Genomic DNA, 26093 nt, shown 5'->3' with positions numbered 1-26093 from the left:
GGCAACTTCGTGCTTCCTTGGGCCCTGATGAAACGAGATTTATGTGAGTTATGTGTCAAAATAAGGAATTTGCAGTTTATCTTCTCAGTTATCATTCTAAAAGTGAACAAATAGTAAGTTAAGGAGATGAAATACAAAATATAAGAAAGAATGCTTGAGCCCATTTAGTTGTCATAACGTGTCAGTGGATCCAAATTAAAGTTACTATCTTACCTTGTATCGCTTCTAAAAATGCTATTCTGTCACATGTGTTCATGAATTGAATATAGAAGATGGGCCAAGTTAGACTATTGTTTAAAAATACATCTTATTAAAATAATCTAAATTTCTGTTTGAAAAAAATACTACATTTTTATTGCATAGGTATCAAAGCATAAGTCATTTTGATTTTGTGAATCTATAAAGGATATGGCCAAAACACCTAGTGATACTGTTAATTAGTATGTAAACTGTGAGGCAGAATTAAGTAATCGTTTAAAATCAAAGCTGTAGAGTTTCTTTAGAGACTGATTCCTACCTAGTGTTCTTGAAAACAAAAATGTTTGCAACAAACTTCCACTTTTGTACTGTATTAGTAGATTCTTACCTGGTGGTACCATCAATGTCTTTCATTAAAAGAACTCAGCACTGTGGCAGCGGTGGCCTCTGACCCATTGTAGAGCAGACAAAATTAAGCAATTAATCACATCCTTCAAGATTCCAGGTTTCCTTTATGATGATGTATTTTCAGGTTTTATTCTATGTGGAACATATAGTATTCACTCTTTTCTACGATTAGTATAGACCAATCACAGACTCCTTGATCTCAGGATGCCTTTACATTCTTAGAAATTATTGAGGACCACAAAAGGCTTTGGTTTATGTGAGTTACTATCATTTTCCATCTTAAAAATCAAAACTGAGAAATCTATTAAATACAAGAATACAAGCACATATTCTATTAGCTGTCAGAGAGATGATGTCATCACATATCAGGTAGCGTCTAGAAAACTTCACTGTACCCTCTTGAGATAATGAGAGTATAAAGGGCAAATAATGTCTAATATTATTGTGAAAATAGTTTGACCTTACAGACCTCTCATAAGTGTTTAGGAGACCACAGAAGTCCCTGGGCCACCCTTTGAGAACCACAGGCATAGAAATTTTAGTGCAGAACACACAACTCTTTTTGAGTTTTTGTGACCTTTTTAGTCAAACATCTACCAAAACATTTCTGACTCGCTCATACAAATTGTGATCTGGGCCAAACAGAGACTTACTCTGTAATCCAAAACTATGAGCCTTATATTTCCAATCCCACAACTCTAAATTATATATATTTGCTCTTGATGCGAATACTCAGGTTTAATATGTGAATCATTCCTTAGATAAGAACAGTATTTATGGTGAGTATGTGATAATTATTATGAATCTGAGATGAGATATTGACTACACAGTCAATATTTCGCAAAACTATAATTCATAGTTATTGGAATCTCTATGTGGGTCTAGTTTCTGAAATCCTCAATAATGTCAGTGGCTTTAGTTTCAACACATTAAGAAAAATGGATCAGAGTTAACTTGACTTTTTCTAGTTTTGAAAGTGTTTTTATTTTTATATTTTAACTTTTGGCATTCATGGTCCTTTGCATTTGCTTTCATTACCCAAATTGCATTTATACCAGTGCTTAGAGGATGGAATTAATGTAATTTTAAAATATTGATTTATTTTATTTGCTGTATAGAAAATGGGATGGTAAGTGTACAAAAACCATGAAACAGTTTTGTTATTTTCCTAGGACAAGTGAAAAAAAATTTTCTAAAATTCAGGTGACAATAGAAAATAGGATCTATAACCAAAATAACCACAGAGTAGAAAAATGAAGCCATTTTATCAGCCACTGTAGTTCATGCCTTGGTGTGCAAAATAAATGTAAATTTTAAACCACTTGAACTCATCTACTTTTTTATGCCACCAAAGTTCAGAAATAAGGACTTTTCACAAGAGACTATAAAACTAAATGTCTAAGAACTGCAATCCTATTAGAGATTTTAAAGTATACAATTTATTTGGCTTTTCTATCAAGGTGAGAATAATAGGTTAAGTTTAGGATAAGCATTCTGGAATTGACCATCAACATCACTATGGATATCTTTTAAATGTACATGAATGATTTTATGACCATAATACATAATTTACATTTCTTTTGGTTTATGCCCAGTTGAAAATATGAAGCATTTTTTTGTGGATAGAAGTGCTTTGTTAGGTATAGAATTTATATATATGCGTATATATGCGCATATATATATATGAGGGAATGTTAACGAAAATTACTTGCCACCATATATGTATACACACACACACACACACACACACACACACATATATATATGGGGATGTATAAGTATGTATACATGCATGTATATATACTATGTGTGTACATACACTATGTATGTACACATATATATAGTGGTGTGTTACCTTCATTTGCATTGCCTACAAAGCCAGTCAGAATGTAGATAATTCTTCACTATACATTGTTCATCTTTAGGAGATCAAGCACTCAGGCACCATCCTTTGAATATCACAAACCACAAGTCCTTTAAGATTTAGGCCAGATGAAGCCCTTATTTCTATGAAACGTTTAATCTAAGTCACACTTTTTGCCAGTGTAGAAGTTACGTTCATCACACAACCCATAAACCTTGCTGACCAAATGTTCTACATATACAGATATATATCTGGACTGGAATTTTATATAATGTGTATAATATAAAATTATATCATATTATACTTATATATATATATACACATAAAAATATAATATAATTTGTAGCAAGATATAACCTTTCTCTTTTGGCAGAGTTTCCCTCCATTTTTGCAAGAAATTCTAATACACTTCAAAGGCCACCTAGCGTGCTGCCAGGAGAGGAGATGTGCTTTGGAATAAGAGTCCATTATTTCAACTCAATGAACATTTTATTATTTTTTAAGTGAATGAATGTGTTCAATGTTTCACATGTTTTCCTAATAGACCTCAAAATTTTTCAGCAGAACCTAAGGAAGCTGCTTTGAGAGAGGATGGTATGGTCCAAGAATAATATCCTACAATGCATATTTGTATCCAAAGTGGTTTATGCAGGTGTGAGCAAGTGGTGTTTGTAAAAATCCTGTTGAATAGACCACATTCTTTCAGTACACTAATTGCTGTTTAATTGGTGCCTCCAGAAAAGCTACTATTGGATGGCAATGATCAAATCATCCTCTCTCCCAATGTGTCCACATAGAAAGTTCTGTCAGGCCTCTTGTTATAAATTTAATGAAGATTGAGGGAATTCCTGCAGTACGGGTAGAAGAAATTGGTCTAGTTGAACTTTAGGCTCTGAAATTCTAGTATTTCAATTCCTTTTGAATCAAAGATTATCTTAATACCCAGCCCTTCCCTTCATTAAGTCATGAGTGCAGTGTTTCCTACATTCAAAGTGCAGTAGTAATTTGACATTTGAGGGATATACCGAGACTTTCAGAAATCACTAAGGTTTAAATGTGTAATTGTCACTATAGCTATTTGATTTCCTTCTCAAATCACTTCCACCAAATCACCTGATTTTGATGCATATTTTTCACACCACAGTTTAACTGGTGCTTGAGTGTTATGGTCATATTGCTGAAGGAAAAATGAATTACTGCCTATGGGATGGGACGTATAAGACAACAATACAGCATTAAATTGTCACCATTGAGTGGCTTGCTGGGTCACTTGCTAACTTAGCTACTGGTCCTAAACCAGCTTCTCAGTGAGTATAACACAAAATCTGTCTCACATTATTAAATAATATGTGATGAGGCCTTTAGGAGTCCTTGTTAATAGTCAGAATTACAACTGCTATATTACATACTGCTATAGTCCCCATGCCATTATTAAGAAAATATACTTATTAAAAATATTTACAGGCCAGGCACAGTGGCTCATGCCTGTAATCCCAACACTTTGAGAGGCTGAGGCAGGCGGATCACTTGAGCCCAAGAGATTGAGACCAGCCTGGACAACATGGTGAAAGCCTCATCTCTACCAAAAAAAAAAAAAAAAAAAAAAAAAAAAAAATTACCCAGGTTGAGGTGCCTGTGGTCCCAGGTACTCAGGAGGCTGAGGTGGGAGGATCACCTGAACCTGGGGAGGTTGAGGCTGCAGTGAGCCATGATTGCACCACTGCACTCCAGCCTGGGCGACAGAGAGAGAGAGAGACCTTGTCTCAAGAAAACAAACAAACAAACAAACAAAATATATATATGTAAATATATAATTCCATCTTTTTAAATTCACCATGATGCCAGACACTTCAAGACATACTTAAAATAATTAGACATATATTTACAATCTACTAGGAAAGAGAAGATAGGCAAAGAAATAGCTACTATATGAGGTGATATGTAATCAATTGTTATAAATCTTCCCAGAAAAGGTGTTTCTTCTCCAGCTGGGAGAATTGGGTGGGAGGCACCCCTGCTGGTTTGGATGGATGGTTATGGAATTCGGAGAACATAATAGACACTCACAGAACGTTGGCTCTGTGACCTTCTTGCTGCTTTCCTAGTGCTGACCTAAGTGAACAAAATCCAGATTCATCATTATTTGAAAACAAAATCTCTACCTCAGACATATCAGAACTTTCCTGAGTTCTCTGTTCTAGCTTACGAGAATAATTTTGCAATGAGTCATATCTGGACATGGTTTCATGTTAATCAGTTTCCAGGTAAAAATTCTTATTTTTAAACATTTATCTTTTTCAAGTGATTAGGAGTCTTGGGCTTTGTTTTGGTTTTTAACCTCTAACTACAAAACTAAACATGTATACTTGCTTTCAGAAATGTATTCCAAACTAATACACTCCCCTGTCTTTCATCCAATTACGGAGGTGTGGCTAAGACAAACGGTTTTATTTTACCCCTTCACGAAAGACAAGGTAGAATCTGAGTGTAGTTTGGAAAAAAGTTTTAGTTTATTTTTTCATATTTTCCTCCAAGCGAGGCTGAAATCCTCTTTTGCAAACAAGAGGAATGAAAGGGTGTGTATTCACAGCACATCCAAAGGAAGTAACCCTCATCCCCGTTTTCTCACTTTTTCATATTTTTCAAGGGCTTACTTTTTATTTCCTACAGAGCTTAATTTTTTTTTTTTTTTTTTTTTTTTTTTTGAGACGGAGTCTTGCTCGGTCGCCCAGGCTGGAGTGCAATGGCACCATCTTGGCTCACTGCAACCTCCGCCTCCTAGGTTCAAGCAATTCTCCTGCCTTAGCCTCCCAAGTAACTGGGATTACAGGTTCACACTGCCACACCCAGCTAATTTTTTGTGTGTGTATTTTAGTAGAGATGGGGTTTCACCATGTTGCCCAGGCTGGTCTCAAACCCCTGAGCTCAGGCAATCCACCCGCCTTGGCCTCCCAAAGTGCTAGGATTACAGGCGTGAGCCATCACACCAGGCCAAAATTTCTTTTATTATCCCCACACAAAATATAAAACTCAAAACCCTGTTATGTCTTGCCTCTTATCATGTGTTCTTCTGCTGGGACCCCTGGGTTGGAAATATTTGCCCATCACCACATCTAGATCTGGCATATCCGGGTCCTATACTGATCAGTTTGGAGGAAAGCCAGTGTGGGGGATTGTAATTCCCACCCCTTCCTGGATGGTCTGGGCCTCATTCCTTTGCTCTTTACATCCTTAGATCCACTGTGCCCCTGTGTATCTCTTGTTCTTGGGGCTGAAATCGCAGCCCTTAAGCACATCACAAAGACTTCAAAAGTCACAGGAGTATAAATTGTGTCAAATGAGCACGTGGTTCTGGAACTGGTCCATTTCATACATCACCTCATTTCTTTGCTTTGTGGGCCTGCAGGGCTTTGGAAGTAAATTGGTGCTACAGCAACTTCCACTTAATTTGCTCAGTGGTTAAATTGATCTATCTCTTTTATTTGATCGGATCTCCAGGAACCGAATCATTTGCATTGATTTATTGATTGGTGCTATGTTTTCACCATTAGTTTTGATCACTTTCAGCTGTTAATATTGGATAATTCAATCAGGATTGATTGGCCTTACCATTGAAGGCAGAAAGTTAATCACATAGGACACAAACAGGACATGGCTAAGCTAACCTCAGTTTGTTATTCTCTCTCCGTTCCAACCCCCCATCATCTATGCAGTAGCAAAAAGACTAGAGTTTTTCTTAAGCAAAGGAGGGAGGTTGCAGTTGTATAGCATTCATAATGCGTCTAAAGGTAAGATAGTTTTATTTGGCTTTTTAATAAAATTGCATCTAGAAATTAAGCAAGCATACAGAAAGATAAGCATGATTATCACAATGAACTCATTTGGACTAAATGAGTAAATGCATTTTCAATTACCTGTTTTGTACAATAAATGCCTCATCTGTGTGTGCATGCTTGGAGGCACAACCTGGGCTCACCTTTTTCTAAATTTGGCCCTTCCTGCTTCACCATGTGTCCTGGTAGTCAAATTTTCAAGAATCAAGTGGTTAATATGACTGAAGTAAGGGCAACAGAGGTAATTGCAATAAGCTGAAACCACTTTATTTGCATTTGAATTGTTTCTACAGCACCCCAGCTCAGTTTTTAAAAATTCTCCATCCATTAATTTCTTGATGTTCATATTGATGGCTGGTTTTCGCTATTAAAAGAGGGAGCACCACCTCTTCATTCTAGGACTCGCTCCCTCCTCCAACAGCCCTGTTGTTAGCGAGCTGCCATTACATTATTTTTTTGTCTGGCCCAGAGTTGACGACAGATGGCCATCTCCGAACTGCCATCAGTGCGGCTTTATGGAGCATCCAGCCAGGGTGTACTGAAGAGCACTGTGGCCAGTTCTGCAGCCCCCTCCCTCCCACCCCCTGGAAATGTTCATCACCTCTGCCACATTCTGCTTTGGCTGGGCTCTGCTGGCCCTGCCATCTTCCATGTCGCCAAGACAGCCTGCTGCCATAGCACCGGAAGATCTGCCTCCATTAGGAAGGAAAGACTGCATGTGTGACTGTCTTGTAAAGACAGAGCTCTGTCTCAGCGCCTTTGTAGTCGGATCCTTTGGAGAAATCCAGAAATCCAAATTTCCAAAACATTCTGCAATCTAGAGAGGCACATGGAATTGCCACCTGTTTCTATTTTAGATGTTTGCACCACACATGGATCAGTTTCCTCACATTAGCAGAGACAAAGTGGCAAGAATAGACCCTTTATGTTTACAAACTTTCCTCTAACTATTGGAAAACACCACTTCCATATCCAGCTGTTGTGACAATTAGGGTAAGAAAGATAGTAATCATGGGCTTCCACTATAAATCCCCTGAAACGAGCAAAGAATCCATTCCAGCGTCTTCCTGATCCATCAATGTGGCGATCCCTCGGACAGCCGGGTGAAATGAGCTGCTGCTGTGCATTTGGAGAAAGATTGATAGGCTGCTCTTGATCGAGTTTGCTAAGGCCGGGCAGCTTCAGAGCCAAACGTGTATTTTAAGAGGAATTCACATTTGTATCCTTTATTGTTATATTTGCAACGAATCTACAGCTTGGAACAGGCTCTGCCCTGCAGCTATGAAGGAGTAAGTTCCCCTTATTGGAGAGAGAGAGTAGTGTTCTGTAAAAGCCTGAGATGTGGCGGCGAGATGAATAGTGCTTAAAAGCTGTGCTTGCGGTGCTGTCATTTAGAACAGCAACTCCGAGGCTTTAAACGGGAGTGAAAGGCAGGGTAAACGAGTCCTTTAATAGTGGTGAAATTTTAAACTGCCTAAAATAACAGGTCTCCTTCATTGATAACTTCATTGAATGAGTGAGTGGAAACTAACTGGCCAGGAACTGCTTTCCCATAGGAGGGCCAAGTTTGCAAAAGCGGGGCTTTTTCCTTGGGCCCCTCCATGTCTGGGAGGACAGCTTCTTTCCTGCGTGATCCCTGCCCCTGCCTTGATAGCAGCTCCTGGCTGGCAGGAGACCATCCTTCACTGGAAACCCAAAGCGCCCATAAAAGACTTCCTTTTTCACATTGCCAAAACTTAATTTTATAATTGTCTGTCTTACACCACTGGGCACATCTGCTAAGCTTGTGTGCCTTCTAGACATATAAAAGGCTACTGTGATACCATTAAATATCAGCAGTGTGCTTTGCTGTGCTTTGAGTTTATAAGGGTGAAAGGTGATTGTGCAGGAAAATGGAACAGTATATTTGCTGTGAGACAGGCACCAAGACTTCACTCCCATACTCAGTTATAATTCATGACAGTACTGGTGGGAAGCCCTTATCCCTCTGTGGAGTTAATGCATCTCCACTGAAGCCTGCTGAGAGCACCCTGCGTCCCCCCCACCATCTGTGCGCTCACTTCCTAGCTGTCTTCTCTCTTTCACTCTCTCTCTCTCTCTCTCTCTCTCTCTTACTTTTTCCTGAGATCTCTTGGTGTTAGTATAGTCAGACTGCTACTGAATTGTAAAACTGGTTCTCCAAAGCAGAATTGTCATTTAACTAGGGGAAGAGCTGGGGAGAATGTATTACAGCATTGTTTAATGTCTCATTTAGAAAATGTCGATTAGAAATTAGAGAAGCAGCAATGCCTTAAACCCGTCGCTGACTCCGAGAGCCGAGGCTGTGCTGCTAATCATCGATGAGTAAGAGGGACCCATGGCCTGAGCGTGGATGGAGGCCAGGGACACAAAACAAGGTGTGCATCACAACCCAAACTAACCAACCCTGTGCTGAACCTGAGTTCAGTGTTCTGGAAGTCGAACTTGAGTGAGACCAAGGTCCTGAGAACTGCTTGCCCACTCTGTCCATTGGCCTGGGCCAACCAGTGGCATGAGCGCCAATCCAGACCCCACGCACTGGCGCCATCTGCCATGCGATGCCACCCACTCTGAGGACCAGAACTAATTGCCTTGGAGCTACCCAAGTCTCAGTTCAAAATGATCAAACCCCTGGGTTGTACAGAACTTCACTTAAAAGAGCAGTGGTGATTTGTGCGATGCAAGCCACAGTCTAAAGTGAAAGAAGCCAAGATGGTCAAACTTGTTGCAGCCCAGAGCCGGCAGAGGGTCACAGAAATAGGTGGTTTGTTCCCACTCTGTCCTATCCCTTTGTGTTCTCTCCCACCTCCCCCGCCCTCTGCACTCCCACTTTCTGCTGGGAGCCCAGAAGGTGATGGGACATGCAGAGGGCGTGTGCTGAAACAAAGGATGAAACTGCACCTCGTTCATAGCCAACCCAAGATTAATGTGCAACGTTTCATAGTATATATTCTTGCCATACTCCATTGTTAGTACTCCTTTTAAAAGATAAATCAAATCCGGGTCTGAAATACCAGTGTATGCATTTAACAGATGTGATGCCATAGGGGACCTACTGTGTTATAAGCTGCAGAAATGGCCTTTTTATGCCTTAGACTCCACTTATTCCAAAGGGGCTTTAGAACTGCAGCGGCGGGGTGAGAGGTCATGCATTAAGACAGCAGCACCCACGCATAATTCTGCCTCGCGTGTAATTGGCTCACGGTCTCATTCTGATGTTTGGGTGGCATTAGTCACATCGTCTCGTTCATCCTGCAAAGGAAAAGTAGGGCAAGAATGGCCGTGTTCACTGTCCAGGTTTTCTTGGGTGAAAGATCACTTTGAGATGACACAGCTGAGTAGTCAGCCTGAAATCCTGGTTGGTATTTTATTAATTTTGCACCAAGATAAATCCTGAAATTCTGACAAACTCCATGACAGGTGAAATTCCTTCTTTCAGAATCTGCGCAGCAAGAGGCTGCTCATTTCGTTCTGTTCCGAGGCAGGCAACAGGAGGGCAGCTTTATAATCAGCCCTCAAAGGACCCCCAGCCGCCCCAGAGTCTCGGGCTGATTGAATAACTCCTGGGCCTCTTCCCCTAGGCCTCCATCAGCGGGGGCCCTGTGGAAAGCCATCTCCCGCAGACTGGCACTGAAGTGAGCTTTAAACCACCATTTTCTGCTCTCCAGAGGAGCCCGGAGTACTAAAAGATAGATGGACTGCAGATATTTTATGAGAAACTGTCAGAAGAAGAGCAGAGTAAATGTTTTTTTTTTCTTCTTCTTTGAGTCACACACTACATCACTGTTGAATTTCTCCCAGAATCTTTTACATTTCAAGTGAGAAATTAATTGGTTGCTAACCTTTAATTCTCCCCGCCTCCCTCTTCTTCGTTGTCTTCCTCTTTTTTTTCTTAAATATTCACACAGAGGCCCTCTGCTTAACCACAGTTGCAGAAAATCAGTACCATTTGCAATGAAATATTTATAATGACAGAATGAAAAATTGGATTCATTTTCTGGACTGTAGCCGAACAGTCTGCAACTTTGGTGCGGCATTGTTTAGCATCTCTCATCCCTCCCTTTCATTGGCGTCGTTTTCGGAAACATAACGCATGGACGTTCACCTATGCTTTGGAGGGATGCCTACCAAAACACAGAGCCTGTTTTTACTCTTAAAAAAAACATAAGAGGAGAAAGGCACATGTTTGTGTTGTGCTGCTATGTGGGGGGCACGCGGATGTGGCCCATAAAAAGGTAGAGAGGACGTGAACTCTGTCAAAAGGAAGGGCGTGCTTGCTCTGTAGGGAAGAGCTGGGAGAAGTTTATAAGGAATACAGGAGACAGTCTGGCCTGGACTTTGTAGCAGAGCACAAATAGCAATCAGCATGCCATCGTATCTTGGGGCAGATTTATAAGGGGAACGGGAAGGCAGAACAGAGGTGAGTAAATACACGTTGAATAACATAGCTCACGTTCTTTCTTCCCTTCAGTGTTTGCTGTGTAGGCTTTCCTTGCCATGTGACCCTTGTATTCAGAGCTGTCTCCTAACCCGGGCTGATGACCGCATTTTTTAAGAGATAAGAGATGAAAGGATTTTGCTAGGACAGCCCAGTGTTGTATTTTAAACAAGTCTGCCTCACAAGTGTGAGGGCCACAACAATACACTGACTCTTATTACAGGGCTGGGTAGGATTTGTAGCAAGCTGCCTAGGCAGTACATTTGGGTCTAGCAAATAAGTTTGTACTCACTACTCCACAGACAGGCCCAAAGAGCCTGCCTGTTTCTTCTCCCTCCGTTGGAACAGAACAAGGGATTATACCCTATAAGGGGGCCATCCCAGCCTTCCATCCCAGGCCTCTGTGTTAACTTTTCTTTGTCCTTTTTGGAACACTGGGTTTAATTAGTTTTAGTGTTGTTTTATTTTGATGGTTTTTCAAAAGTGAAAATAGTTCAGGTAGATTCAAGCGTCAATACAAATAGCCTCAAATTCCAATATTGGAGGTTTCCTTCACTGAATTTGCATCATGCAATTGCCAACTCCACAAGATCAATAATCCATATTTTATTATATAATAAAGGCTGCCTGTAAGTGAATTGGCTCATTCATTCCATCTGATTAGCTCGATTGTATTCATGGAGAGAAAAAAGAATACAAACTTACCTTCACCAAAATATTGCATTATTTGGATATAAAAAGCTTCCAGCACTATAAAACAATTGCATAGGGATAAGAGATAATTCATTTCAATATTTGTTTACCCTAAGAAGAATATGACTCCTATCATCCTGCAATTTTTGGTGACAACTTTAAGTTTCACATCCATTGCGTGGAACTGGTCTCCGGTCAGCCTGGTCTGAGCACCCTGTAACAGGTCTTTCTTCCAACCAACAGCAAGAATCCCACTCCAGAATTCTGAAAAACAACTGGGATAAACAGTCTTTTTCTTTTATAACCCTTGGAGAGATTCACCTTTTACTTACCCTAAGGCCATTTCCTCTTATTCATCCACGGATTACCATTTTCGAGGTTTTTGAACGCTCACTGTGTTCTCTGAAGCAAAATCTTAGCACAGATTTGTGCCCACTAAGGTGATGAGAAACACTGAGCAGGAAAGGAGTGGTTCATTACTGGGATCTCTCAAGATCATGATGCTTAGTTTAACTTGTGGGTGACACATACTTTCTCAGAGGCTTGGAGGTTTTATACAGGCTTCCAGATTTGTCGTTTCATTGCATTCCAAAAAAAAATGATTTTGAGAAATATGCTGACAGTTCAGCATGAAATGATGTGTGTTCTGACACACACTGCATTGCAGCTTAGGAATCTAGCCTGAAGTAATTTTTCTGTAGCGTTTCTAGGACTCTGATTCAGGGGAGAAAAAGAAGTTCCCTTTAAAGCATATGTTTTAGGATGTGACAATAACTTTTCTCCTGCGCCGTGCGTGGATTCAGTAGACTGTTTCCACTTAACCCTTATTATTGTTTTCTTTCTTGAGTGCCAGGGTTAAGGAGAAGAAATTTTTTCTTCCATTAGTTTTTCAACAACTTAGGTGAGTCTGAAATATATACCCAAGTAAATGGGAACTGTAATAGTGGTGTGTTCAGAATCAATCTCCTCTGCAGGCCAGGCAAGGAACATTGAATAGCGTTCATTTATGTACTGCCAGATGTATTTCTGCATGTGACTGGGCTCGCCAAACCGCTTTGAATGATTTTCAGTGTTATTAAGCAAACTCACAGGAGCAACAGGACTTGTGACAGAAGTAAAGAGCCCGGTGGCAGGAGTCATTGGTGAAGGAAAGTTGCACGGAAAGAGAAGCACCACAATGCAGACTCTATTTTAATATCTGAGCTAACAACTCTCTGGGAATATTTCTCTTCCTCTTGTCCAGCTCCTTCTGTGTTGTGGCTGGTTTGCATTTGTGTTTGAAATGCCAGGCGGTTTAATGAAGTTATTCTTTTATAAATTTTGCAACACTGAAGCAAGCATGAGGGCTTTAAATTAGAATAAGTGCCACTTCTGTATGGCAGGTTCCTTTGAGGACTGATTAGAATGAGGCCTCCCGTTGCCTGGCCCTTTATGCATGGCAGTGTTGCTGTGTGTTCTTGTTTACGGCTCACCTTTGAATTTGCATGAGTTTGCACCATGCCTGCCGCCTGGCCCTCTGTTAGTCAGGACTGTCTTTCTTTCAGGATCATGTTAAATACTTCACTTTAAAGAGATTTTTTTAATTATATTGCTTTATTGTAATGAATTAAAATTAACTTGGAGTAGCAAATTATTTAAGGATGTGAGGGTTATAGATTACTCTCACCATAGCTACAGCACATCTCTGCGTGGAGGAATTAAAGGGTTCTCTTTCCAGTAGCTCTGTGCACCATAAGGGGTGAGGAAACTGTCCCACAGAGACCTAGAAGTAAAGCCAGAAAAGGTGCCCAGGAAGTGAGAGGAGAATGGGAACTTCACGTGTGGGTTTCTGAAGCAAATAGAAGCTCTTCTTGGCAGGGTAGAGAGTGGGGGCAGCTCTGCCATTTTAAGACCTTAAAGAGTATAAGACAATGGGAAATCGTGGACAAGAAAGAATAAAAATATATCTTAAGAACAGGTTTAATAGAGAATAGGAAATGCACCCAACCATTCCTGACTTCTTTGTGCCTGTATGAACTTGCTAATAAACCGGGATGATTTTAGGGGGTGGGGAGGGATCGTTAAAGAAAGAGACCTGAAATTTTCAACAATACACAATAACATACAGGGAAAAGAGAAAGAAAAGCAAGCACACAGGCAAAAAGAAAAAAGCACCAAACTTGAGTGTGAAATGTTTTCTCTTCTCCAAACTTGGGTTTTTTATTTAAAGTAGGGGATAACCAAACAGAATTGGGCCTGTGAAATACTTGCATTTTTAAAGGGCTTGCTTAGATCTTAAAACAAGAATTACTTGGGGCTCCTTCTAATTGCATTCTCCATGCAGGAATAAGTCCCCAGAGAGACAGAAAGATCAAAGGCAAACACCAGGAATTTTACCTGTAGAAGCAATGCATGTATGTAACTCTTTTTTTTTGCCCTGCGCAACACTCGCTTAGGCGTGGAAATGGACATGCGCACAGGCATATTCCCGTGCGCGTGCACACACGCACGCACACACGCGTGCGCACACATGTGCACAGACACACACATGCACGCACACACACCTCTCAGGAGGTGGCTCATACTTAACACAGTTTATCTAAATTAATACATTGTCCTTTCACAGTTTTATTTTTATATATCTTTACCAAAGCATATGCCATAGTAGACAAGCTTTTTTTTTTTTTGGCTTACGGTGGGGAAAGATGTTTTTCTGTTATTCTTAATGATTTATAACATGTTTGACTTACTCTTAATGTGAGTTTACCTCCTAGGGAGTGTGGCAGTGTTTTTAATAAAAGAAATAATACACTACAAGGAAGTGGCATTTCTTTTGCTTTTTGCCCAAGTTCAATAAACTATTTTTCATAATTATTGGAATTTGGTTGAAGGGAATCCGTGTCCCTATCAAGTGGAAAAGCAGAAAGAGTCTTGGCTCCCTCCTTCTTCCTACAAAGGTTACCCTTTGAATATAAATTACAACGCCCTGTGCTTCTCTCATTCTAATCAGATGACCTTTTGAATCTGGTGGACCAGAGTTTAAATCCTAAGCCTGCCAGTCAGTTTTTAAATCAATGCCCTGCTCCACCATCTTTCAGTGTGTAACTAAATTTCAATGGATTTCAAACACGGAAGTGAAGTAAATGATGCCAGTGGAATCTTGCAGCTGACTGCAAAACAGCCAAACTTAACTCTGAGATCTTGACCAAGTGATATGATTATAGTTAATTTTGCTGACTAAATTCTCTTCAAAAACCTTCCGGGATTCAAAATCTAAGAGAAAAGGGAGGAGTTGGAATTTTGTAATGTTTGTAAGAGGACATTTCTGAGCAATTATCAATTTAAGCTTCCATTATTTGCTGCTAATTGGTACACAAGGCTGTTAAATATTTAGCAGAAGTTTGTTTAATTGCGTTTGACTGGGAAGGGGATGCTTGAATATAGCTTCAGCAGCAAGAGTTGGTTGTGTGCACCGAGAGCTGGCGGAGAGGAAATTTGTATTCGCCCAAGATGAACACATTACAATGTCAGACAAGCCTTCTTTTTTCTTCCTTCCAAAGATTTATTTATCTTTAAGGTATCTAAAATTAGAGCACGAAGAAGGGGCACTGTTCATGGATGTAAAATTGGAAGGAGGTCATTCTTAACCTTGTTTACAGATGTTCTAGTTTAGAAAGCGCCAGTGTGATAAATTAAACATTACAGGGGAAAAAATTAAAGCTTAGCAACAACTGGCACATGGACACATCTGTCTGTGAAGCACTGACTTAATCCCTGAATATCTTATTAGACAGTATTGCCTATCAAAGCCTTCTGTCCCACAGTACGCTGGAATCCTGCAATTCCAGAATCTTGAGTGAAATCTTTACACTCTCCCTCTCACTGGTGCTGGCTTTATATAGTTTGATTTAAATTTTCTGCTGGCTTCTTGCATGGAAACAGACAGCTCAATTCATTGTTTTCTTTTAAAAATAAACATCGTACTCTTTACTATATTTCCCAGTGGCCATTTTGCTCTTTTTCGCCTGTTCTTCCCTTTCGGCACCTTTTTCCCCCACTCTCAAGGTAGTACATAGTGCACGCTATTGTCAGTTGCAAAGAGGGAAATTTTCAAGCTTGTCAGGTATGCACAACAGATAGGGGTCAGCTTGCAACTACAATTTTACTACTGTTTTTAAGTTCTTAATGGAAAATGGGATTGTCACGATGTTAACATTTCCCACGTATGACGTCACAGCAGAATTTGTCCTTTGGAAGCTGGTGGACTAAAGGGCTTGTTTTATATCTCCAAAATGTTTAATTGTCAAAATACTAGGAATTGTTCTATGTTAGCAACTAGGACTTAGCATTATTTAAATAATTAGTCTTTGCTTAGTCTTCTGAAGACTCACATTAGACTAAGGTCAAACTGGGTATTCTTGGTACATGGTAACCGCCATGGGCTTTTCCAGCTCGTTTGATATTGCAGAAAATAGCAAAATGTGGTGAAAATAGGCCGTTTTTGAACTGACTCCCTACCTCCCGGCACAGCCGGACATATCTGCAGCTCCACCAGATGCCTCAGCTCCTACACAGTTCCTGCCCTCTGCCCTCTGCCCCCTGCCTTCTGCCCTCTGGTTCTCAGCTTTGCTGCTGCTCTTCCCTCTACTTCGGGGGCCATTCTCTCCCTTTTTACCTCTGCCTCCTCATCTCTCCCGCACCAGGCATGTGTGACTCCTCCAAGAACAAAGCCTCTGACATAAGGTGAAGGGCCCTTCCTCTGTGTCCTAGAGCACCCTGTCTCTCCAGATAGAAGGTCTGGGCTATGGCAATGAGTGTCCTTTATCTGTACAGCTGGCCCAGCCGTGGGACTAACTCTAAGACCTTGAGTGTTGGCTTCAACCCTCTGGGACTTAATTTTCTCATCTATAAAATAAGATACTGGACCAGATGCTGCTATGTACCACCCCCAACCCCCAGCTCTGAAACCAATTTTTTCTTTCTCTGCAGTATTACTTACAGGTGTAGTTGATTCACCTGCCATTGAGTCTAGACCAACAAATTGAGGATGATGGCTCTGTAGTTCTTTCAAAGTAGATAGTTTTTTCCATTCCCCAAATACTGATTTCCAGAGTTTAATATTTGGGTACCTTTAAACATTATTAGATTGCAAATATCCCTAAAGCAGCATAGGTTGATTGCCACTAAAACGTACCATCTTTGTTCATCAATGGTATATGGATGGTCTTGATAAGTCACTAAAAGAATGAACACTTCTGGAAATACTTGGTTCTTTACATAAACAATGCCATTATATATCTCAGAAGAATTCTTTCTACAGTTTCTGTATACTTGCCCACGTTCACCCATTGACTACGTTTTACTGCAGTACGGTATATATTTACTGCAGTACAGTCTCATGTGGTATATGTGTCCCTTTGCAGTTCTCTTTTTAAAATGGGGAAAATACCATCTTATAATGAAGACAAAGTAGCATACTCAAGCATGGTATAGCAAGCTCAATGTGTTTTCAATACAAAGTAAATTCAAAACAATTATATACCTTCCTTATGACCACCTGTTCCTGTGTCTGACCTCTAATTTAAACCTGTCAATAACAAGACAGGTCATTAACAAGACCTCCTCATTACAGCTATTTAACACACCTCATAGACCACCATTTCTTCTTCCCCTTTAGATCAGTTCCTCCCTGCAAATTCTTCAAAACCCTTAAATTCAGAACCCTCCTTATTTCCCAGCTTTCATTTATTCATGCACAAGTGTTTTTCAAACAGTATAAGGCAGTGTTCCTCAATATCTCCCTGGTGGGAGAGATGCTTCCCACCAAGAGATATGTGGCAGTGTCAGGGGACATTTCTGCTTGTCACAACTGGGAAGATGCCACTAGCATGTTGGCAGTAGTGGCTGAGGATGCTGCTAAACATCCTACAATACCCAGGACAACCCCCTGCAACAAAGAATTGTCCAGCGCCAAATGTCAGTAGTGCTGAGGTTGGGAAACCCTGCTTGTGTAAGGCAAGCCCCACTGGCCTTCTAAAATCTATTTTCAGGCTCCTCTCTGGAACCAAGCAAGTGAATGGGATGTGTTTTATGTAATGACTGAGAAATGGTGTACTGGATGGTCTTCTAGGTTGCTTTGGATGAGATGGATGAACTTTTATACTATAGGTACATGGTCTAGTGTTTGGAACATAAACTCATCAACATGCCAGTGTCCTCATCCTTCAGGATTATCTCAGATCACCCTTTTTCTGGACGTAGTTAGCACAAATGTCCAGAGAACAACAACAAAAATGTCCTTCAGTGAGGTTTATTAGAATGCGAAATTGTTTCCTATGGGAGGTATGATAGCAACTTCATTGCCAGAATCATTCAAAACTGGCCTAAGTGTGTAAACTTTATCAAACAATTATGTTCCTACAAGGGGACAAACCAAATGTCCTAATAGTCCTTTTCCTTCTTTAATATCTTGTATTCTTCTGATCGCTTCTGATGATGCCATTTCACCTTTTGCTTTAATATAGCTTAGTGTCATCCAGAAAATGCTTTGAGATGTCAGACCAAGCCCATGTGAACTGTTAAATGTCAAAAGAAAATGCATCAGTGTTTCTGTAAGTTCATGGTGATGACATTACCATATGAAAAAATAAAAAGGGAAATTCTGTCAGTGCAAACATGATCATAAATGCAACATTCATGGCATTAAAGAGAGGGGCAAAAGCATACATGACAATTTGGAAATGCCATTGCTGTGTCATAATAAAAGAGTAGAACTTCATTCTAGCAGATTCTACAAATGTAAAGATTATGAGTCAACTTCCCTGGCTATGAAAAAAATCCACTATGCATATGTCTTTTCGATTCTCATAGCACTTAGGGAAAATACTGTATATTTGTCCTTTAAAAAATATGCATTGAACTATAGCATAGCTCACAAAAATGCAATATCCACAGATATGGTCCTGATGTTTACCTGGTAAGGTCCATAAAAACACAATTACCCCAGATTTCCTCAGCCAGGAATTATATAGTTGTGGGCAGTAGAAACTTTGGGGTGGGCAAAGTAGGGTACTTGAGGGTGATTTTGGTCTTCAGTGTAATTTTTAGAAAATTCCTAATGGTACTCCCAGAGCCGTAGCAATTTACTTTTAATCAGTTGAAAATTATGAGTACTTTTGTAATTGTGTGGACTTTGAAAATGTTAATTTATTAACATTCACATCCTGTTAACCTTATTAAGATGCTTAAAGGTCACCCTTTGCCATTGTGACTATTTTTTCTCTTAACGTTCAGGGGAAATAACCCAGGATCCTGTCATCATTAGCTGTATACACTTTTAAAACTATTTTACTAGCATAAGAAGTTGGGAATGAAAAGGAGAGAGGATGGAAATGTAAAAATCTTGATTAGAAAGTATAATTTAATAGAATATGTATTGAACCAAATATATTGATTAATGTAGAAGATATAGTACTTATATTGATTCGAACCAGAGATTTAGTACTAAAAGCTCTAAGCCAAAAAGCTGTTGCAGATTGCTACAAAAGTCAGTTTAATGCTGTCCTTGAGAATGCCTTCACAAAGAAATTCTTCTAATGTTTGAGGACTAGGTAGAATGCGGTATATGTCAGTCTGATCCCGGAGGGTTTTATTTTGTACTCTAATAGCTGTTAGGAGCCTACATTATATCCAAGGAGTAATTTTCCTTAGGGGTGCCCAGCTCGCTTTGTGTCAATATTCTAGCATTTTAAGTCACGTACAGTATATGCTTCTGGGAACGGGGAAGGAGCCAGCCAGACTCATAATGGTCTGCATTCATTAATAAAGGCAGAAGCTTCTGTCCCTCCATTGCCCACTACAGGGATGCCTCTTTGGCCTTCAGGGACCCGTACAGACACATTTAAAGAAAGCTTTATTTTGAGTGGGCAGGAGATGAAATGTAGGACTTGCAGGCATTTCCTAAGTCAGCTATATGCCCGAGCACAGGGGTGACCTTAATGGGTCAAAGAAGAATGCAGGTCAAAAGACTTATTATCCAGCCTGTGGGAAACCAATTGCTTTTGTTTAAAAAAAAAAATTAAAAATGAAAAAAAGCAATAGTGCTTAAAGGTGGACGGTAATGTAGAATTCTGTTTGCAGCCTGTAACTGCACGACTGTATGTGAACTAGAATATACTTCCAGAAAAATAAGAGCATACCGATTATCCTCAGTGTTTATGGATAAAGGTCCAACCCAAGTGATAAAAGGAAGGGTAATATAATTAGTTAATCAGTGATGATTGATTACGGATGTTTGTGTTCTTCAACTAAAGAAAAAACAACATGCTGCCATGGTGCTGTCACCATCTGTTGAAAGAAACAGCCACATTTAATCTTTATATTTCTTTATTTCTTCCCACCTTGCATTGTTTCTGAGCCACAATTGCCTACTATTTCATCTAGTTAGAAAACATCTCATTTAAATTAAATACAACTGCAGTTTAAATTCGGGTTTCTAATGGCATAGTGAATTAGTGGTGGAAAGCTTGTTATTTTTTTTCATTCCTTTTTAAAATAGCGTGCTGGCTCTTTTACTTAGTTTTAAAAGCTTGTCAGAATTTGTTTGAAACAAAAGGCTATAAATAAACAAGTCATGGTAAAAATGATTAACATCTTTGAATCAACAGATTTCACAAAACTTCCATTCAAATGCCATTTTTGTTTTTATGACCACTGATACGTAACATTTTGCCGATGCCAACAGAGTGTTACAAAGCACAGACGAGACACGGTCTCTGCCAAAGAATTAGAAAAGTGAAGGCAATCTCTGGGCATAAGTTTTGGGGTTGGGAATTTAATTTTTCAACTCTAGGAAGATAGGTTCCCCCTGGCTTTCCTCCAAAGCTGAATTTCATCATTGATGTAGGTGCAAAAATTCAAATTTACATCAAGATTGCAGGAAAATGGAATGTCTTTAGCCAAGGTGAACAGTTTCAAAGGATCATGGATTTTTATTTTTACTTAAAAATATTTTTCTTGGATTGCATTTTAAATAGGATTAAACTGTTTGACCAGCAAATGTGGTCAGCTCTCAGAAAAAAAGGAGGCTGAATTAATCATTTGTTAGAGTGCCAAGCCCAAAATGAGAATTCCAGTCTTGTAAAATGAAAGGCATCTCATATTTAAAAAGAAATACATAGTGCTAGAAGGGAATTTTTAAGGCCCTCGTCTGTTTTTTAGCTTTCTAAGTTTAATTTCACATTTATAGAGAAAAAAAATACATACAGCACACTCCTTCCAGATGGGGCCCTTTACAGTAAAGAAAGTGTTTTTGAAACCTCGCTATTAAGGTATCATACCTAGATGGATCTTCTTTTCAGCTTTAAGGTATGTTGTGGATTTGATTTTTTTTTAACACAAACCCCCCTCGTGTAAAACAACTGTTCATAACTGGGATTAATGGTTTGCAATTTTCAGTTACTTAGACATGGGGTCTCCAGGAGATGGCTTTTTGCAGAGTAGAATATGGCTCTCTGTGGGATTACAGAAGTTTTCTTCTCTTCCTACTTCCTTTTCTGTCTTCACCCCCCACCTCCACCAATGTTGCACTGATGTTCTTCTCAATTATGTAAAACACTTTCCCTTCATTGGAACAGATATTTTTTCTCATAACCTGTCATTGCATTAAAGTACTTTAGGGACTGTGAATTGCTGTGTAAAATTGGTGAGATTACCCACTGCTTTGTTCTAGTGTAGTGGTTTCCTCTGGACCTAAAGAGCTGAAAACTCTTGCACAGAGAGAAGGCTGCTTGTGGATGGCCTGGCAGCATTTTTCCGCTTTCTGCTCATATGCATTTGTGTCCTTGCTGTCTCAGGACTGGTTCTGTGGTGTGGCAAGTAGCCAGGGGGAGAGCAGACTGGGCCTCAGAGCCTACCCTCTCTTTGCTTGGCGCTTCTGCTGTCTACTTTTTTATCCTTCCCACTTGCCTCTTGTCTCCCTTTCTAAAGAAATAATGTCTATGAGCATCAGAAAACACAAAAAACACTGAGTGCTCCCATGAAGCTCTATTCAGAGAATCTTTAGTCGAGACCAGAGACTAGGACTTCGCATCTGTTCTCACCAACACCTAAAAGCCAATCGAATAAACCATGGCTCAGATATTCCATTCCTTCCCCCAGAGAATGAAATGAGGCCATTTGTATTTCCAGTGGACTTGAAATACTGCGTGGGGGAGGAGAACAGACACATCCCCCGGATCCTCAAAGGTGGCAAAGGCAAGCCCTTGAGGATGGAGCAGAATCCCATGGCGGGGTTGTTTCCAACACAAGTATATCCATTGCCCAAGAAGCTCTAGGAACGTGCTGCCTTCCACCATGAGCATCACTGCCAATGGTGGACAGCCAGGCCTGGGGACACCCTGCCATAGCACTCTGTTGGGCTGGAGCAAAAAAGGGAAACCAAACAAAATGAGAATAAGAGACCTCCGTGGTCTGCAGGCATCTCCACACCAAGAGGACTTCCTGCCCTTACATTTCTCATGCCAGATTTCTTAGGTTGATATTACTTACATTGGGTTGCTTTATTTTTGAATTTCACAAGCCATACCCTTGCCCTTCTCACAAGTGATTTATATTCCTCTCTCTTATATGCAAAACATAACTCCTTTATGAAACAACTTCAGTCTGTTGTAGTAAGTGATGTATGTGTATTTGTTCATGTCCTTGCACCTCTGAAGAGACTTGTATGGCTTTGATTGAGGATGAAAGCATACAACACACAACCATTGCCAACTGTTATGGGCAGTTTGTTTTGGGTTCTTGTAGCATCTTGATATGAGCACATATAAAAACACCAGGAAAATTGCACTGTGTACTCTTTTACTAACCCCTAGAATCCAATCACATGTGGAGTGTCCATCATAAGCACTTAAACATTTGAAAATAATGTAATTAAACTGTTTTTTTTTTTTATTTGGTAAGAAGAAAAAAACACCCATCTTTCTGTCAGAGTCCTATCATTTAGGTAAATACAGGTTGAGTATTCCTTTTTTAAAATGCTTGGGACCAGAAGTGTCTTCGATTTCAGAGTTTGGCATATTTGCATATACATAATGAGATGTCTTGGGGATGCAACCCAAGTCTAAACACAAAATTCATTTATATTTCTTATATACCTTATACACATAGCCCAAAGGTCATTTTACACAATATTTTCAATAATTTTGTGCATGAAACAAAGTTTCAGTACATTGAATCAGCAGAAAGCAAAGGTGTCACTAGCTTAGTCACCTATATTCCATCATGTCAGTGCTCAAAAATTTCAGATTTTGGAGTATTTGGATTTTGGATTTTCCCATTTGGAGGTGCTCGATCTGTATTATCGTATCTTCTTGTACTTATTTGGTCATTGTTTTTGGACTTTTTAAAAATAAAAAACCTTTCTATAAACTTGACTCTGAGATAGCAAAAGGTATAAGAAGGCTTAGATGTGGTGTATTTTGAGTAATCAAACTTTTATTGTTTATAACCTTTCCGAACAGAATCATGTTGATTTTTCAGAAAATAGCAAAGTTTTTCGGTCTCATTAGTACTTTTATTACCCTTTCTGTCTACATATCGGTGACAAGTACTTTTCAGAAGTATTAAAAATCAATATACAGATAAAAGAGCTGGCATAAAAACAATTTGCTATTTCCTGTATTCACTCTGAGGCTGGGACTATTAAGATATGTTTTAAATAAGGGAGAGTGAAATACTGGTCTGCATCATGATTTGTCATCCATCTTTTTCAAAAATGAGCTAAATTTGAAATGGAACAAGGAAGACCTAAGTCCTCTTCACAAGGCTCCCAGCCCCCCGCCAACTTCTGCACGCAGCCCCAATTGGTTCTCAGCTGAACCTCTGGTCATTCAGCCTGTATTCAGGGAGCAGGCAGTTTGCTAGTTGCTGTAAAGGATGAAGAGATAACAAACATCTCTAAGATGAATCCCTCTGCTTAAAATACTCCAATGGCTCCCTTAACCTACAAGACAGTCTCAGCTCTTTAGCAAGGTAGATAAGACAGCTCATATTCTTGCCCCAAACCAGCTCCATCTTCATGTCTCGTGAGTACTGTTGATTCAGAACACTCCAGAAGAATTCATCCAATCTAAACAAGTTGCAGGTCTGCAAACGTACCTTGCATATTCCTGTTTCATTGCCCTGACCCATGTGGGTCCCTTGGCCTAGAGTGCCCTCCCTGTACTCTCTGCTCATGTCTCCGGCTGTCAGTATGCTGGATCCACTTGGAACCATTCCCCAATGGCTAGGCAGGTTTAGGTGTATCCGTGACATTTCTGTGTTCTTTTCTAATAGACTGCTTGCCATCTTGCTTTACTTTTATGTACCCACATGACCTTCTTTAGACTGTGAGCACTTTGAAGGCATGAAGGCAAGGACCATGCCCTTCCTCTCCAGTAGCCCTTGCCTTGCCAGCCAGTCACTGAGATAGCCAAACCCTCTTTCCTGAGCACTGCAGCGCTCTGGCATGTGCCAGGTGCTGATGTGCGTTTTCAATAGATGCTTGTAGATGAATGAATAAATGAATGAACATCGGAATTATTGGCATGAGTGAGAGCCAGGCCTACAAATAATCATGAGACAAGACCTAAGATGCATCCTATGTAAGCAGTATAAAGTGCAGCAGGAAATCAGAGAAGGGAGAGATCAGTGTTAGATGGGGTGAGGATGGAAGTGGTGATATTTTGAGCTGGGCCCCAAGGTTGTAATACAAAGGGATTGGGGTCAGGGGATACAAGTGAGTAGTGAGAGAACATGGCTCCAGGAAAGCACAGAGGAGGAGAGTGGAGATCAGGCCATCTCCAGGCTTATGCTCCAGGCAAATATCCTGCAGATCTGTGACCATCATCCAGGCCTGGTTCCTGGCGAACCAGGTTATCTCTTCATCCTTTACAGCAACTAGCAAACTGCCTGCTCCCTGAATACAGGCTGAATGACCAGAGGTTCAGCTCAACTTTCCCACCCGGCGTCCACCCTCAGGGCCTGGCTGGTGGTCCTGAGTTGCCCAGCAATCCCAGTTACCCTCTCACAATTTGGAAAGAGAGTGTTCACTCAGAAAGGGGACATGCTAGCATAGATGAGCAGGGACCACCAATATACAGCACAGGCTGTGTCAGCTGAGAAAGAGCATCCGGGGACAAGGGGAGACCTGGCGGGCTACTGTAATCTGCCCCTGAGCCACGGTATGACCACAGCCCAAAGCCCACCCTCAGGAGGGGGGCTGCTCCCACTGTCCATCATCAGCCAGCTAACTCTTGCATTTCATACCCATATTCAGGGGCAGATAGAGCCCCTGTTGTCAAGATGTTACAGTCTCAGAGGGATTGGAACAGAGGCATATGTAACCAATGGAAATCACGCACAGATCCATAAAACTGTTAAAACAGTGCTACCTGCTCCTTGAACACTGGGTCGTATCTTAATAAGAAGAGATGATGGATGGCGGGAGGGTATTATAGAAAGGCATGGCAGAGGTGGAGAAAAGGCAAGGTGCCAGCCAGCCATCTCACATTAAGGAGGCTTCTGCCCTGGCCTCTCCTTCCAGGCCCTCATGGGTGACAGCAGGTTCAGAAGATCTCTGGGTCTGTTTCCCCCTGGGGAAGAAACATTAGATTTTTTTTAACATTAGAGGGCACCCATGAGCACTATTCATCAGAGGGCAGAAACTCATTGTTCTGTTCAAGTCATTATGAATTAATTACATGTATATATGCTTGGTCTGATGAAAATGAAATCACTGAAGTTTGTTTTCCCTCTCTTCTCTTTTTTTTTTTTTTTTTTTTTTTTTTTTTTTTTGTTATTTACAGAATCATACAATGACCCAACACAGCAGTTAGTGCAAGTACAGTCTCTCAAGGAGAATTGATTTTGTGGCACAAAAAGGGAACATGTTTTACTCTTTGCACGAAACTTTCATTGTTAATGTATATTATTCAGAAACATTGTATTGTACCATAAAACTTGTATTATCAAACTGTTGGATGTTCATGTGTTTGAACTTTTGCGCACCGGATAGACCCCTTGTATATAAAGTGTTGCACATGTATTATGTCGTCTGATACTAAAATGGTCTTATAAAGACAAGTGGACTTGGGCCCTATTCAGGCAAGATTAAAAAAAAAAAAAGACTATGACCAAAATGGCTTAAGATAAAGTATTTTTAAGGAAGAAAGATTAAAAACAACTGTTATACATGAGACTATGGTTGGACTTCCTTTTCTTTACACTTAAGCCTAGAATTTCTCTTTAGGTATATCAGCGCTTAAATCCAAGACTATTTTTTATTGCTGAAGATTCTTGCAAACCATGAAGAGATGTTCTCACAGAACAGAACCCCACAGCTGGATAAGGCCCGTATATATATATTTGTAAGCCTTGCAATGTGACAGGTAGCATCACTATATATGCAATAGTTGTTATGTAGACTGTCAAAGAATTTTTTTTTCCCTGGATACATTTGAAGCTTTGAGTGTTCAAGGTTTTCCTTAATGATTTCACGCAGCCAAATTCTTGAATCAGTTGAACTAACCTGTATGTTACTGTTATTAATGTTTACTCTGCAGTCTGAACCTGGAGATTACTGGAATTGTTTTCCAAGAGGAAATAAATTCAGTTTACCATTAGG

General features: G+C 40.1%; 1 protein-coding gene across 9 annotated transcripts in view; it reads left to right on the top strand.

Moving 5' to 3' along the window:
* ZNF521 (zinc finger protein 521) overlaps positions 1-26093 on the top strand; it is a 290243-nt gene extending 264150 nt beyond the window's left edge. For all 9 annotated transcript variants that reach the window (XM_017025697.3, NM_001308225.2, XM_011525909.4 and 6 more), the window contains one exon: positions 25276-26093. In XM_017025697.3, coding sequence (XP_016881186.1) covers positions 25276-25305 — 30 coding nt within the window. In that variant the 3' untranslated portion in view covers positions 25306-26093. The remainder of the gene's footprint in view (positions 1-25275) is intronic.

Source organism: Homo sapiens, chromosome 18 (genome assembly GCF_000001405.40).
Source record: "Homo sapiens chromosome 18, GRCh38.p14 Primary Assembly".
In the NCBI taxonomy this organism is placed as follows: Eukaryota; Metazoa; Chordata; class Mammalia; order Primates; family Hominidae; genus Homo; species Homo sapiens.
This window is presented reverse-complemented; position numbering and strand designations above follow the sequence as displayed.